This window comes from Homo sapiens, chromosome 4 (assembly GCF_000001405.40).
Source record: "Homo sapiens chromosome 4, GRCh38.p14 Primary Assembly".
Classification (NCBI taxonomy): domain Eukaryota; kingdom Metazoa; phylum Chordata; class Mammalia; order Primates; family Hominidae; genus Homo; species Homo sapiens.
This window is the reverse complement of record NC_000004.12, coordinates 87439410-87456597: the sequence shown is the minus strand read 5'-3', so window position 1 is coordinate 87456597 and position 17188 is coordinate 87439410. Positions and strand designations below refer to the sequence as shown.

Genomic DNA, 17188 nt, shown 5'->3' with positions numbered 1-17188 from the left:
CTAGGGGGTCAGCCATACCAGTATGAAGAGGGGGCCTACATTTTAGTGAGCTTTACCTCCAAGAAAGCCACCAGGTGAAGACTGGAGAAAAATCCTCTCTCCTTTCTAACATGGAGAGGGGAAAGGTAACCAATTTCAAATACACCCAGATCACTCTGCCCTCAAGGAAAACTATTTTACCAAGCCCTAAGCAACCTGAGGGAAAGGAAATACCCAACTCCAGCCCCCGCTGGATTTCCTGTCTTTCCTAAGGATTGGGGAGGAAGGAGGGAAGCTGAGAATAACATATGAAGGGTCACAGCCCAGGGCCACAGGCTCACTAAAAGACTGACATCTAACCATATATTCTCCTATGATTCCCCTTCCTCTAGAATTTACCACCATATCTATCAATAGGACTCCTGTTTAATAAAAGGGGAAGACAGCTGAAAGAAGGGCATGCTTCAGACCTCATTTAATAAGTCTCCAGGGAAACCCAAAACTAGAGGAAATTTTAGCCTCTGACACATACAATGACAGCAAACAAAAAACACAGCCTAACTCCTAGCCAGATAAACATAAAACCTCACGCTAAAGAACTATTTGCCTTAGTTCCCTTACAAGTTATATCATGGTCAATTTTCAAAAAAGCACTACAGCCAGGCGCAGTGGCTCATGACTGTAATCCCAGCACTTTGGGAGGCCAAGGTGGGTGGATTACCTGAAGTAAGGAGTTTGAGACCAGCCTGGCCAACATGGTGAAACCCCATCTCTACTAAAAATACAAAAATTAGCCAGGCATGGTGGTGCATGCCTGTAGTACCAGCTACTTGAGAGTCTGAGGCAGGAGAATCGCCTGAACCCGAGAGGCAGAGGTTGCAGTGAGCCATTATCATGCCACTGCACTCCAGCGTGGGTGACAGAGCAAGACTCCATCTCGGGGTTAAAAAAAAAAAAAAAGAAAAAAGAAAAAAAAGCACTAAAAGCACGCTAAAAGGCAAAAAACATAGCCTAAAGAAACAAAGCAAATATTAAAACCGAACTCAAATATGGCAGAGATTTTGGAATTATCAAAACAAAATTTTTTAAGTTTAAAGAGAGAAAAAGATAGGGTAAAAACAGTGAACAATCCATAAACTCTATAATCAACTTCTGGAGGATCAGTCATTGTTTTTAACTCCAAAACTTTAAAGTAGTTAACAAATTTATCAGTACTAAAGTTGTACAGACCTGCTTCTAATTTACATCTGCATATTTCTTCTAAGTTTTCATACTAGGATAAACTCTTCTAATACACCTTAGTGGAAATACAGGAATAGAAAATGGTCCCAGGAGTTTCCTCCAAGTTCAACAAGCAAAAGCACAGGATATGGAAATGACAGATCTAGTTCTAGCCCATTTTGTAAGTGAAAAAACTGAGTCCAAGAGGACAAATGATTTGTACAAGGTTACACAGCTCAGAAAGAACTATGAGTGGAACATTCATTTCATTTCTCTAGCATGGTGCCCCCACTTTTATGCTACAAATAAAAACAAATCAAATTTAGCAATAAAATATGTTTCAAGGGAGCCATTCAATGTGTACATTAAGACCAAATTAATTTTTAAGACAGCAGATTTTTCCTTTCTCCTTCTGTAATAACAGGTTTGACCCTCCTCATAAAATTTTAAATTCCATACACCAGAAACAGCATTCATTTAAAATTTTTTCAGTACTTGGAATTTTTTGTTATTGCTTTGTGTATTAACAATCCAAGATTATTATAAAAATATTTGAAATAGTAAGATATAAATCCCATTTCCTTTATCATTGCCATACTTCCTACCCAAATCCCAGTTGCTTTTGTTTTGCAAAAAAAGGGAACTATACTCAATAAATAATCTGACATCTTTAAAGCATATCATTTTAGCCCATAATTTCATCCTTAATTTCAAATGTTACCAATGGATTAAAGAAAATTTAGTCACTGGTGATAAAAGTTTTGAAGATTTCTTCTATGTATTCCTTTAATACCAACAATTTTGCTTTCATATAACTACAGTCCTACAATCAACAGTTAATTGGTTTAAGATGCTAAATAGTCCAGATTTAATCATGCCTTAGTGGGCTAATGGCTTAAATTGATCCTTTAATCCCAGCCAGTTTAATAAATATAAAGTTACCTGTTTCGTCATGGTAGTTCACAGCTTCTGTCTCCATCCATGCATTATCAGTGTTTCGAGGATCATCAACATATCCCTTATATATCTATTTTCAAAAGAAGACAAATTTTTTAAAAGTCCAAGGTGTAGTGAGTACAGCAGAGCATGTTACCTTCACTAGCATCAGAAATGTAAATATCCTGTTGCCCAACAACATGAACATACTTAATGCTACTGAGCTGTACCTTCAACAGTTTAGATGGTAAATTTGACATTATGTGTTTCTATCAAAATTTTTTTAAAGAAATGTAAATAGCCGGGCGCGGTGGCTCACGCCTGTAATCGCAGCACTTTGGGAGGCTGAGGCGGGTGGATCACCTGAGGTCAGGAGTTCGAGACCAGCCTGACCAACAAGGTGAAACCCTGTCTCTACTAAAAATACAAAAAAAATTAGCCATGCATGGTGGTAGGTGCCTGTAGTCCCGGCTACTCGGGAGGCTAAGACAGGAGAAATTACTTGAACCCAGGAGGTGGAGGTAGCAGTGAGCCAAGATCGCGCCACTGCACTCCAGCCTGGGCAACACAGCGAGACTCTGTCTCAAAAAAAAAAAAAAAGAAAGAAAGAAAGAAAAAAAGAAAGAAATGTAAATATCATAAAACTTTTAATGTAGTACTTCATGTGCTTGTTTCAAATTTCCCAAAGAACAATATTCTCTTTTGAGGCAGCTTTAAAAATCATGAAACCCTCAGGCCAGGCGTGGTGGCTCATGCCTGTAATACCAGCACTTTGGGAGGCGGAGGTGGGCGGATCATGAGGTCAAGAGATCAAGACCATCCTGGCCAACATGGTGAAACCTCGTCTCTACTAAAAACACAAAAATTAGCTGGGCATGGTGGAGAACACCTGTAGTCCCAGCTACTCAGGAGGCTGAGGCAGGAGAATCGCATGAACCCGTGAGGCAGAGGTTGCAGTGAGCCGAGATCGCATCACTGCACTCCAGCCTGGTGACAGAGCCAGACACTGTCTCAAAACAAATAAATAAATCATGAAACCCTCAACACTTCAAACTCTAATTTCAGAATCTGAGAACAGTCAAATTTGGGCAATATGATTTTTTAAGAGTCCATCACTTAAGTATTTTTCTGTGATTATAGTTTCTGAAATACAAAGGTAGATTCTTCTAGTTAAACAAAGGAGATCTATAAATAAAACTAAAGATTACTACTTAAGCTATTAATATATGAAGATATTTGGATCTATTCATCTAGCACAAACGTAACTCAAAAAAATCTGGACAACATAAATAACTAAATCCCAATTCTGAAAAGAAAACAAGCAATCCAAATAAAAACTGACCAAAAAAAGGCCGGGTGCGGTGGCTCACGCCTGTAATCCCAGGACTTTGGGAGGCCGAGGCAGGCGGATCACCTGAGGTCAAGAGTTCAAGACCTGCCTGGCCAACATGGTGAAACCCCGTCACTACTAAAAATACAAAAATTAGTCAGGCATGGTGGCACATGCTTGTAATCCCAGCTACTCTGGAGGCTGAGGCAGGAGAATCACTTGAACCTGGGAGGCAGAGGTTGCAGTGAGCCGAGATCGCGCCATTGCACTCCAGCCTGGGGACAAGAGCGAGACTTCATCTCAAAAAAAAAAAAAAAAAAAACTCTGTTATTTTCTTATTATTAGTGTGCATATACCTTGTAAGGTATTTTTTTAAAAGCACGGAATGCCAGGCTCACACCTGTAATCCTAGCACTTTGGGAGGTCGAGGTGGGGGGATCCTTCAGCCCAGGAGTTCAAGACCAGCCTGGACAACATGGTAAAACCCCATCTCTATAAAACAAAAAACAAAAAATTAGCCCAGTGCGGTGGTGTTTGCCTGTGGTCCCAGCTACCCAGAAGACTGACGTGGGAGGATCACAGGAGCCCAAGAGGTCAAAACTGCAGTGAGCCATAACACCACTGCACTCCAGCCTGAACAACAGAGCAAGACCCTATCACAGAGGGTATATGGACAAAACAGACATGAGACTTAAATGATTATCAACCAGAAAAATCTCTGTATGACATAATTTAAAATGTAAATGTTCTTTCAGAGAGAGCTGAATTCATGCACATACAAAAAGCTTTCTGTTGGATGGGTACTCAACGTGAAAGAAAATAGTTTACAGGCCAGGCGTGTTGGCTTACACCTGTAATCCCAGCACTTTGGGAGGCCGAGGCGGGCAGGTAACCTGAAGTCAGGAGTTCAAGGCCAGCCTGGCCAACATGGTGAAACCCTGTCTCTACTAAAAATACAAAAATTAGCCGGGCGTGGTGGTGGAAGCCTGTAATCCCAGCTACTCCAGAGGCTGAGGCAGGAGAATTGCTTGAACCTGGGAGGTGAAGGTTGCAGTAAGCCAAGATCGTGCCACTGCACTCCAGCCTGGGTGACAGAGCGAGACTCCATCTCAAAAAAAAAAGAAAGAAAAACTAAGAAGAAAAAAGTTATTATAATAAATGATATAAATGAACTAAATATATATCATTTTAGCCTATATAGCCTAAAGTTGGGCTATAAAACTTTAAATAGAAACCTATTTACAGTGAAGATCTGTAATTTGTTTTTGTGAATATATTTTAAATATACAAGTATTCCACTTTATTTAGAGAAGGACATACAGATTTCCAGGTCAACTTTTAAGTCATTTTCATCAATCCACAGAACTAAATCCCTCCCAGAAACACTATTTCTTACCACTAGGTGGTCTTGGCTGAAGAGTTTGTGCAACTTTTCCTCTATTTCTCTCTTCTCAGCACTGGTTTTCTGTAAGGAGTTGAGAGCTTCCTCACCAAATTCTCTTTTCAGTGTGGCACTAATCTTCTCTCCTGGATCCACCATCCCCTAAGAGTCACATTAAAAATTTTGAAAAAAGGGATCAGCTTTGATTTGTTCAACAAATATTTATTGAGTAGTAGAGTGAACATTTATTATTCAATCTGCCTATAATAGTGATCCCCATTTCTCTGTGATACACTGTTCTCTAAACCATCTGTTGCTAGTAGAAGGAGCCAATAAGGATACCTCATGTATTTGGCCACAGTGATTGGTCCAAGGTTAGCCTATGGCAATCAAACCAATTTCCTGGTACTTGCCAAACTCGAACTAAGGAAAAAGGACTGGAGGTTAGAAATAACACAGCACATTGATTCTTCCCCCATTGTTCATTCCATTCCAGCCACACTGACCTCCTCAATGTTCCCAGGACCTGCCTAACATGCTGCCCGCTGAGAGCCTTTGTACCTGCTATTATCTCTATCCAAGATGCTTTTCTCTAGATATCTGCATGGTTCACTAATTCATTTCCTTCAGATAGTTACCTAACATGCACCTCCTCAGGGAGGTCTTCTCTTAACTGCCCTGTCTAAAATCGCAAACTCTCAAACACTTCCTAGTCCTCTACCTTGCTTTTGTTTCTTAATACTTACTGCCTTCTAACATGCGATATATTTAACTTATGTATCTTATATTATCTGTCTCTCCAACTGGAATGGGAGCACCAAAAGACAGAGGTTATTTGTTCATGTTGCTCTGTTGTATTCTCAGTGTCTAAAATATTAGCTGACAAAAGGAAGATACTAAAAATACACTGATTAGATGAATAACTGTCAAAATGATAACAATGACAGCAGTTTCCTGATAAGAATTTTAAATAACAATAAAAATGCAAGATTCTATGATGAAATCATTATTACGTTATTGCTTTCAACCTAAGTGAAGTTTGACTATTTGGCTCATAGAAATTAGCCTAAAGTTCACCAAGCACAGTGGCTCATGCCTGTAATCCCAGCACTTTGGGAGGTCAGGGTGGGTGGATCACGAGGTCAGGAGTTCAAGACCAGCCTGGCCAAGATGGTGAAACCCTGTCTCTACTAAAAATACAAAAATTAGCTAGGTGTGGTGGTGGTCGCCTATAATCCCAGCTACTCGGGAGGCTGAGGCAGGGAATTGCTTGAACCCAGGAGGTGGAGGCTGCAGTAAGCTGAGATCATGCCATTGCACTCCAGCCGGGCAACAGAGTGAGACTCCGTCTCAAAAAAAAAAAAAAAAAAAAGAAAAAGAAAAAGAAATTAGCCTAAACTTTTATCAGAGTCGGCTGAGATCCTTATTTCCACTCATTTTTATTCTACACAGAAAAAAACATTCTTGCAGACAACTGTATGTTTTTATAAAGAGTCATCCTCATATCAAACTATCTCCATTTCACAATATGGTATAAAATATAAAACCCTCTACCACACACATAAACATTTTAAACGGCCACTTCAGGCCAGGTGTGGTGGCTCACACCTGTAATCCCAGCACTTTGGGAGGCCCCGGGGCAGGCAGATTGCTTGAGGCCAGGAGTTCGAGACCAGCCTGGCCAACGCAGTGAAACCTGTCTCTACTAAAATTACAAAAATTAGCCAGGCATAGCGGCACACACTTGTAATCCCAGCTACGTTGGGAGACTGAGGCACAAGAATTGCATGAACCCAGGAGGCAAAGGTTGCAATGAGCCAAGATTGCGCCAATGCACTCCAGCCTGGGCAACAGAGTGAGACTCTGTCTCAAAATAAATAAATAAATAAAAAATAAAAAATAAATGGCCACTTCAAATATACCACTGCCATAAATTCAAACTACAAGCCAACAAAAGTATACTCATCTTGATAACATTATAGAAATTATTTAAACTACACAGAACAGTAAATAACAAAAGCTAATTTTTTAAATATTGTCAAAAGTTATCAGAATTCAACCAAAAAGTGCTTAAAAATACTACCTTGGGCTTGGAGTGGAGGTTAAATTCTGAAATGGGACCCAACATAATGAATGCCTATTAAATGTGATCTCTAATAATCCTGTGAAGTAGATCTCTTTATTTTAAAGATGAGGGCCTGAACTCCCAATCACCCAGCTGCAAGTAGAACGGCCAGAACACAGACCTACATCTAACTTCAAAGCCCACGTTATTTCCCAAAGGTGTCAGAATTACACGCAGATTCTAACAGTCTTGGATTATCCTAAACTTGTTGCTGACAATGACACTTCATGCAGGGATGAAAAACATAAGAATTACTAAATGAAGTGGGAAGGAATAGAGGAAAATGGAATAGAAAAGATTCACAAACAATAACCCTGTAGTAAGTAAAGCAACTAAAAGGAACTTAAACACTAATTTAATTTTAATGCTTACCCCTGGGATTGCCCATTCTCCACAGTCTTTCCTTTTTATTGCAACAAATTGTAAGATATGCTTCCCAGAAACAGGATGCATGATTTTATTTCCACTGCTATCCCTTTTCCATCTGTGAATAGTAATATAAAATCATAACGGATTTACAACAAAAACTAAGGTTCTATCTCAAACTTGAGATAAAGTTACAAGGACTTTTTCTTTAAAGCAGAGTATATATAAATTTATCTCAAATCAGCTAGTTTTATTTAAAACTATTGATTTTTACTGGAAATATTCTATATTCATCACTGTTACAAACCAGGACAAATGTCTACATTACATAAAAGACACTACATTATCTGTAATGAAAATTCAGGATATAAACAATTTTTACTACTTAAAGTATTAACAAAAAAAGAAGTAGCAGAATAGAATTTAAAGAAAAGGTTATCAAAGTTTTTTAAAAAATAAGTTTACGAATCCCCTTTTAAAAATTACTGGTAGTTGCCAGGCGCAGTGTCTCGCACTTGTAATCCCAACACTTTGGGAGAATTGCTTGAGCTCAGGAGTTCAAGACCAGGATGGGCAACAACGGAAGACCTCATCTCTACAAAAAATAAAAAATTAGCTGGGTGCAGTGGCATGCACCTATAGTCCTAGCTACTTGGGAGACTGAGGCAGAAGGGTCACTGTACCCAGGAGTTTAAGGTTGCACTGAGATAAGATGGTGCCACTACACTCCAGCTTGGGCGACAGAGAGAGGGCCTATCTAAAAATAAGAAAAAAAAAATTACTGGTAGTGAAAAAGGCATGGTAAGATTTGCTTTGGGCCAGGCGTGGTGACTCACACCTGAAATCCCAGCACTTTGGGAGGCCAAGGTGGGTGGATCACCTGAGGTCAGCAGTTCAAGACCAGCCTGGCCAACATGGTGAAGCCCTGTTTCTACAAAAATACAAAAATTAGCTAGGCATGATGATGGGTGCCTGTAGTCCTAGCTACTCAGGAGGCTGAGGCAGGAGAATCACTTGAACCCAGGAGGCAGAGGCTGCAGTGAGCAAAGATCGTGCCATTACACTCCAGCCTGGATGACAGAGTGAGACTCCATCTCAAAAAAAAAAAAAAAAAAAAAAAATTTGCTTTTAACAGTTCACCCTGTGCTAAGAGAAAAGCAGATTATATGACCCAGTTTAGCTGGTGTCAAAAGCAGTACTTCTCAATCTTTTTTTTTTTTTTTTTAAAAAGACAGGGTCTTGCTCTGTCACCAAGGCTAGAGTACAGTGGTGCAATCATAGTTCACTGTAACCTTAAACTCCTGGGCTCAAGCAATCCTCCTGTCTCAGCCTCCTGTGTAGCTAGGACTACAGGCGTGGGCCACCATGCCCAGCTAATTTTTTTTGTTTTACAAATGGGGTCTCCTGCTATGTTACCCAGCTGGTCTTGAACTCCTGGCCTCAAGCCATCCTCCCACCTCGGCATCCCAAAGTGCTGCAATTACAGGTGTAAGCCACCCGGCCCTGCTTCTCAATCTTTATGCCCTCTGATTTGATAAACAAAAAAAACTCTATCCTTTTATTTTATATTTTAAATTGAATTGCTTATGGGTTTTGTAGAAAGTATCAAGGCAATGTTAGTTTCAGAATACACTTTTTCTAACCACACTCTCTTTGCCAGAGATGTTGATATTAATAAATCTCCCCTTCCCCTTCCTCACCTCCATATCAACCTCTAGCCCAATTTTAGGAATTGTCCTAATGATCTCTCAGGCAAAACAAAACAAAACAAAAAAAAAAAAAACTTCCAATGCTAAACCAAAAAAGAAGGTCTATGATATAAGTATTACTCTGGATGAAACCCAATAAAATATTAGTATGCATATGAGTTTCCAAATTTCCTTATATAGTAGCTGACTACCATATCTACCATATCTAGTTCCTCCCATGAAAGAGCTCATAGTCTAGCAGTGGCTCTAAATTAGCAGAAGGGTGATAGTTTGATGAGTATATTAAACAGAAATGAAATAATAATTAGTACAAGAGGGCACATCTGTTTTTAAAATGCCAGAAAGGGGAATACATAAGCAAGAAACAAAGTCATAAAATAAAATAATGTGTTCAAGAAACTGAATGTTCATATGGGGTCTAGCACCATGGGCATCAGTGAGGGAAAAGATAGACCAGAAAAGTGGGCAACAGGCTTATACGACAAGATTCATCTAATTCGTTTACTTAGAGAGCCAGAGAGTGTTTTTAAGCAGGGTAAAACCATAACCAGTTTGTATTTTAGAAAGCTCACTCACTTTGACAAAAGCATGTATGTTGGTCTGGAGGAAAGCAAGACTGGACTCAAGAAGATCAGCTGGGAGGCTACTACTATGATCCAGGTAAAAGATGATGACAGGACAGAAGACAGTATGGATTTTATTTTTATTTTCTAAAAGCCATTTAGATAGCATTTATTATATATATATAAAACACTGTTCTAAGTGCTTTAATGTATTTATCCATTTAAGCCTCAAAACAACCCTATAACATAGTTGTTTTATTATCTTTATTTTACAGATATGGAAAATGAGGCACAGAAAAGTTAGGTAACTTCCCCAAGACTACAGTGTTAACAAGGGCGTAAACACAACTTTGAACCTGGACAATCTGGTTCCAGAATCTGTGTTCTTAATTACTATACTATCTACTTAAACTGAACAAGCAGAATGTTTACACTAATTAGATAAGAGGAAAGACGGCCAGGAGCAGTGGCCCACGCCTGTAATCCCAGCACTTTGAGAGGCCGAGGCAGGCAGATCACGAAGTCAAGAGATCAAGACCATCCTGGCCAACATGGTGAAACCCTGTCTCTACTAAATACAAAAAATTAGCTGGGCGGGGTGGTGTGCACCTATAGTCCCAGCTACTTGGGAGGCTGAAGCAGGAGAATCACTTGGAGGTTGCAGTGAGCCGAGATAGCACCACTACACTCCAGCCTGGGCGACAGAGCTAGAATCTGTCTTAAAAAAAAAAAAAAAAAAAGGAAAGATAAGAAGGCAAATGGTGGCTATGTTCACTCATAAACATTTACTGGCACCTACTACACATCACATGCAAGGAGCTGGGAAAACAAAGACTCAATACAGCTACTGCTCTTCAGCCAGCCAGTTGTGACTATGAAACAAGGATGAGAAACAGAATAGAGAGAGATGCTGGCCACTGGCCAGGTGTAGTGTGGTGGCTCCTGCCTGTAATCTTAGCACTTTGGGAAGCCGAGGTGGGAGGACTGCTTGAGATCAGGAGTTCAAGACCAGCCAGGGTAACATAGCAAGACCCATCTCAAAAAAAAAAAAAAAGAGAGAGATGCTACTGGGGAGAAGGCAGGATCAGAGAGATGATCAGCAGCTTGCATATGTTCTCAGATTTTATTCTGAAGGACAAATGTATGGATTTTAAGCAGAGTAGCTTCTTGCTATATTATTTATTAGTATTAAATACATTATCACCAATTTTAAAACAAAATTTCTTGATCTAACAGAACTAATACATCATTTTAATTGACGAACCTAATAAACATTTACTGAATATCAGTAATATTTCTATGCCCTATTGCTATTCCCTCCCCAGTTCTAACAGTATGTACCTTCCTGTCTTTAACCAAAAGTGAACAGAAAATGAAATTGTCATCAATTGTTTGACCTGAATTTATTCACAATAATATATTAACACTTCCCAACTCATTTTGACTCTAGAGGATCTGAAGAAACTTTTGATAATTGTACCTGGACAATCTCTAGGAGAGATGCCTGGGAATCCGAAAATTTAACACCTGCCCCGGAGCTTCTGAAAAAGTTTATGAAATCCTGAACAACGCTGTTTTGAATCATGAAGTGCATACTTGAAAGAAAGGGGGGTGAAATCTTGGCTCTGAAAGTGCCTGGGTGATTCTCCAGTAGAATGAATATACTCTAAAACAATGATAAAAAGTACAGTATAGTAAAGACTCACTAGTGGTGTAACAGAAAAAGTACAGTATTTAAAGCCACTTACCCCTGATTCAGATGTCAGATCTACAACATTTAGGCAAGTAACTTAACCCCAGTGAGTCTCTATTTTCAAATCCTCAAAATAGATATATCAATACCTACTTGGAGGGGCTTCTGTGAAAAACAAATAGAAAAACTAATGATAGCACTGACAGGATGCCTGGAATAGACTAGTCTAAAAGTAGAATACTTTTAACAATTCATCTAAGGCTTGAATCTTCCTTCAACATCTTTCATTCTTCTCTGTTCCATTTCTGCTGCCTCTCATCTATTTAGAGGAACTCATCAATTTATTAATTAATGCATTACTATTAATTATTAATTAATGCATTATTGAGATAACAAAGAACATCAACTTAAGAGTACAGTTGAAAGCCAGACTCTGCCACCTGTGGGCTCTCTTATAGCCTCGGACCATCTCTAAGCCTTCAGTTCTCTTATCTGTATGACAAAGTTAAGCTAAAAAAGTCTACCATTTCAAAACAACTTGATACACAATCACCATGTATACTCCCAGCCACTATTGGGTCCACCATAGATAAAGATAAGCTAACTAGATTCTAACCTTCAAAACTCTGGCTTCCCTTTTCTGCTCTTGTCCCCTTACTAGCATTACATTCCTGTTTCAAACATTTCATACCTTCCTGTTTTTAGCCAGCTTCACCAAAATCAGAAACTAACACTGCCATTAATATTTTTTTTATTAACTCTTTCCATCTCATTTAAACCATAGAGGTTCTAACAGTATGTGGATGGAGAGGTAGGCTGATCAGTAGTTAAGTAAGTAGGTAGGTGAATGGGTGAGTAAGTGGATGGATGGATGGAGGGAAGATAAAATTTGGGGTTGGGTAAAGATCCTTTTTGGCAGGAGAATCAAGAGGGCAAGTAAGAAAATAAGACCGGGTGAGAATGGGTGCCTCTTCCAGTAACTTGAAAATAAAAAAATATATAAAGAGTTAAACTATCAAATTATTATTATATCTCAGATCAAAGAAAAACAGAGTCTCCTTGAAGAAAAGCCCCCAAAATATCAAAACTAAGAAAGTAACAATATGAGGATATTTGCATTATTTAAAGAAAGAACATGACAATTCCACGTGGGGAGACAGATGGTCAGCAAAGAAATTCTAAAAGTAAAAAAATAAAAATTAAAAGGATGACAAATATGACAATATTTCAGGTACATTAGAAAGATGATTCCTGTGGAGATAGCTAAGCATATCTAAACATTAGATTCACTGACCTTCTTAATTCTGATTCATGCTCATCAAGAGACTTGAATATGATTTGGCTTACCACATAGGTCTGCCTCGGAAGAGAATGCCTCTCCCCCGTTCTGAAACCTTCAATGGCTCCAGTCCATACTCCTAACTTTGGCATTTAAAATTCTCCACAATAAAACTGCACAAAAATTAACTTTAAGTTTCATTTTTCGCCCACTACTCTTCTACAAGAATATTCTGTTTCAACCAAGCTGGTCTCTACTCAGATATTACTACAAACCCTTTTCTTAGGCTTCCTGCTGTCTCCCTACCCAAGGTTCAAGTTCAGCTCAAATCTACCTGCTTTATAAAGCCTTTCTTGGGTGCACTAGTTTACCACAGTCATGACCCACATCCAATCTTCTAATCTTCTAAAGCATCCTGAATCACCCATATTATTTGATCACATTTAACATGTTTTCTTACTTCACATTTTCCATCTTGCAACTAAAGCCATTGCTCTTCAGTGACAGAGAACCAGCTTAGGATTCTTAGAATTTTTTATATTTACCAAAGTGCCTACTCAATGCTGAGAACAAATAGATGTTCAATAAATAGATGCATAAATAGAATTTACCTTCTTTATATAATGCCTAACCTACTCATATAAGTACAGCTTTATACTTACATCGCATCACTATGATTTTATATAAAGTCTCTTTAAAATATCAATTATATATACATCTGCATGCATATTTATGTAATATACATGTGCAGGCATGTGTGTGTGTGTATAGTCGTGCCACATAATGATGTTTTGGTCAATAACAGACCACATATGCAACGGTGGTCCCATAAGATTACAATGGAGCTGAAACATTCCTATCACCTAATGATGTCATAAGCCATTGTCAATATCCTCACCCAATGCATTACTCACATGCTTGTGGTGATGCTGACGTAAACAAACCTACTGCACTGCCAGTCATAAGAGTACAATCACATACAGTATATAATACTTGATAATAAGTGACTATGTTACTGGCTTATGTATTTACTATACTGTACTTTTTATCATTATTTTAGAGTATATTCCTTCTACTTATAAAAAAAGTTAACTGTAAAACAGCCTCAGGCAGGTCATTCAGGAGATATTCAAGAGGAAGGCGTTATTATCATAGGAGATGACAGCTCCATGCATATTACTGCCCCTGACAACTTTCCAGTGGGACAAGATGTGGAGGTGGAAAACAGTGATATTGATGATCCTGACCTTGTATAGCCATAGGCTAATGTGTGTGTTTGTGTCTTAGTTTTTAACAAACAGTTTAAAAACAAACAGAAGAAACAACTTTTTTTAAATTAAAAAAAGTGCACAGAATAAGGAGGTAACAAAAGAAACTATTTTTGTACAGTTGCATGATGTGTTTTAAGCTGTTACTATAAAAAAGCCAAAAAGGTTTTAAAAATGTTTAAGTTTATAAAGAAGTTACAGTAAGTTAAGGTCAATTTATTATTAACAAAATGAAAATATTTTTTATAAATTTGGTGTAGCCTAAGTATGCAGTGTTTATAAACTCTACAATAGGGGACAGTAATGTCTTAGGCTTTCATGTTCACTCACCACTCACTGACTCACCCAGATCAACTTCCAGTCCTATAAGCTCCATTCAGGGTAAGTGCCCAAAACAGGTGTATGGTTTTTTATCTTTTATATCGTGTTTTTACCTACTTTCCCTATGTTTAGATATACATACACTTACAATTGTGTTACAGTTGCCTATAGTATTCAGTACAGTAACATGCTGTACAGGCTTGTAGCCTAAGAGCAATAGGCTATAGCATATGGCATAGGTGTATACTACTTATACAATTGCACCTACACAATCTAGTTTTATGTAAATATACTCTATGATGTTCACACAACAACAAAATCACCTAATAATGCATTTCTCAGAACGTGTCCTCATTGTTAAGCAATGCATGACTGTATACATACATATATATACAAACACATACATATGTATATACACACAGGTATACATATATACACAAACATAGCTACAGTCTGCAATTTTTCTATCACTTAGCTCTTTGCTACTGATATGCTTTTTATTGGTTCTTACCTGGTTATAATGGGATCTGCAGCGTGATTTGGGCCCCATCGCCCCAAAAGCCCCCGGCCCACCAGTCCAGTCCGTCCTGCAGGATTTCTGGAAAAACAAAAAAAGCATAAAATCAATTGAATGTGTTCATCTTTTTAACCTGATTTGATATAACCCAAAAGAAGAGAACATAAGCAGTAAGACAGAATAAGTCCTTACAAATCCAATGGAACTATCACATATCTGGTGCTGAAGTCATGTATTTCATGACACTGCTATTTAATTTTTCTTTTGCGCATGTGATATGCTTTAAACTTGATCCAGAAAGAGGCTCTCATACCCCAAGTGGTTCTACAATGTGATGATTTGTTTCAGTTTTCACCTATACTCCTAAATTCAAACTGGAACGTTCCTGGTTTCTTCTGGAACACCTAGATCTCTCTTCACTTTCTCATTATTCTCATTTCCTACTCTACTCTCCTACAACCCTTCCTATTAAAATTGTCCCTGTTACATTAAATCCCTTTTTCCTCAATGGTTTCTGGATTTTTATTATCAATAATATATATTTGTAGCATATGATAAGGTATTAGTATTACTATTTCATAGATTTCAAGTAGACTAAAATACAATTTTATAAAAATGCCAACTATTTAACCTGATGCCACAATCCAGTGTTAAAAATTTGTCAGAGAAACCTATCAATACTCATGCCTGTGTCATTTTATTTCAGTAAACATTCTTTAAATGTTCAACTTTCATTATGTACTACTAAAATGTTCTAACATGTAATTCTACTTCATGGTGCTGTATCTCTTGCCCTCCCACTATATGAAAGTAAATAAACAACTTGCCAAAATTTCCCTTTTTGCCATCTCTTTTTATTCTTTTTTCCCAGTGACTGTTATTAAAATTGAATGAATTTTTATATTGTTTTTGTACTAGACTCAGAAATATTTCAGCAAGACTTGCAAATAGCAACAGAAAGAAGAGACAAGACACCTGCCCAGCTGACAATAATTCTTTCCAAATTCACAGGAGGAGGGGCAGAGTGGCCAGCAACCATATATATATATACATATTTTTTTTTTGAGACAGAGTCTCACTCTGTCACCCACGCTGGAGTGCGGTGGCATGATCTCAGCTCACTGCAACCTCCGTCTCCCGGGTTCAAGCAATTCTCCTGCCTCAGCCTCCTGAGTAGCTGGGATTACAGGCATGCACCACCACGCCCAGCTAATTTTCGCATTTTTAGTAGAGACAGGGTTTCACCATGTTGGTCAGGCTGGTCTCAAACTCCTGACCTCACGATCCACCCGCCTCAGCCTCCCAAAGTGCTGGGATTACAGGCGTGAGCCACCATGCCCGGCCTGCAACCATATTTTATTCCATGTAACCACACACCCCTGAACACAAGTGATCAAGGCCACCATAAAGAGACAGATTAGTTTGTATAGATGACCAAGACCATAACTTGGAAACAGGAAACTGGAATGGACACACAGACTATATTAAAACCTGAAAAGCACAGATGGTTATTCGCAAAGAGAGAGTAATAAGCCAAAAATATAGACAAAAGCATAAATGAAGCAGAGAGAGAGTCCTGATGGATTTCGAATTCCATCTTTTCCTCAAGTTAGCTGCATTTTTGCTTTGAGCTCCTTGAGACATTCCTATAGCATAGCCTTAAAATAAATTTTACTTTTGCTCAGGCAAGCTAAAGTTAGTTTCTATTAGTCAAAGAGACTTCATTAAAAGAACAATCTATCTTGCATTTCCATCTATATATCTTACCTATCTTTTCATAATATTTTTATAATTGTATCTATAAAAGAACCTAAGGAATCAGTCAAATGCAAGGAGAATTTGACTTAAAAAGACTCAATAACATAGAAAGGTGAATAAGTTATGACCAAAGAAAGAACTTAGCAAAACTGAAGGACCAGGTTGAGATGAGAGGAGTACTACCATTTCCTTGTCTTACAGGAACCAAGAATACAAAGTGTAACATTTTTATAAGATGATAACCATGATTTCAAATCTGTGATCCTTCTTTGGTTTTATTTGGTACATGCTAATTTTTACACTTCTTTCTAACTTTTTAATATGATTTGGCTCTGTGACTCCACCCAAATCTCACCTCAAATTTTAATTCTCGAAAATTGAGGGCAGAACCTGGTGGGAGGTGACTGGATCATGGGGGACGGTTTCTCCATGCTGTTCTCATGATAGTGAGTGAGTTCTCATGAGAGCTGATGGTTTTTTTGTTGTTTGTTTTTTTGAGATGGAGTCTCACTCTGTTGCCCAGGCTGGAGTGCAGCGGCACAATCCTGGCTCACTCCAACCTCCGCCTCCTGGGTTCAAGCGATTCTCCTGCCTCAGCCTCCCGAGTAGCTGGAATTACAGGTACCCGCCACCAAGCCCAGCTAATTTTTGTATTTTTAGTAGAGACAGGGTTCTGCCATATTGGCCAGGCTGGTCTTCAACTCCTGATCTCAGGTGATCCACCCGCCTTGGCCTCCCAAAG

General features: G+C 38.5%; 1 protein-coding gene across 5 annotated transcripts in view; it reads right to left on the bottom strand.

Moving 5' to 3' along the window:
- Positions 1 to 17188, bottom strand: part of NUDT9 (nudix hydrolase 9) — a 36883-nt gene that overhangs the window by 2858 nt on the left and 16837 nt on the right. For 4 of the 5 annotated variants that reach the window (NM_024047.5, NM_001248011.2, NM_198038.3 and 1 more), the window contains 4 exons: positions 14683 to 14769; positions 7345 to 7456; positions 4863 to 5009; positions 2143 to 2227 (listed from right to left, as the gene is read on the bottom strand). In NM_024047.5, the coding sequence (NP_076952.1) occupies positions 2143 to 2227; positions 4863 to 5009; positions 7345 to 7456; positions 14683 to 14769 (431 nt within the window). Of the gene's footprint in view, positions 1 to 2142; positions 2228 to 4862; positions 5010 to 7344; positions 7457 to 11090; positions 11277 to 14682; positions 14770 to 17188 lie in introns of those variants that run through there. The other variant, XR_007057928.1, reaches the window with a different exon arrangement.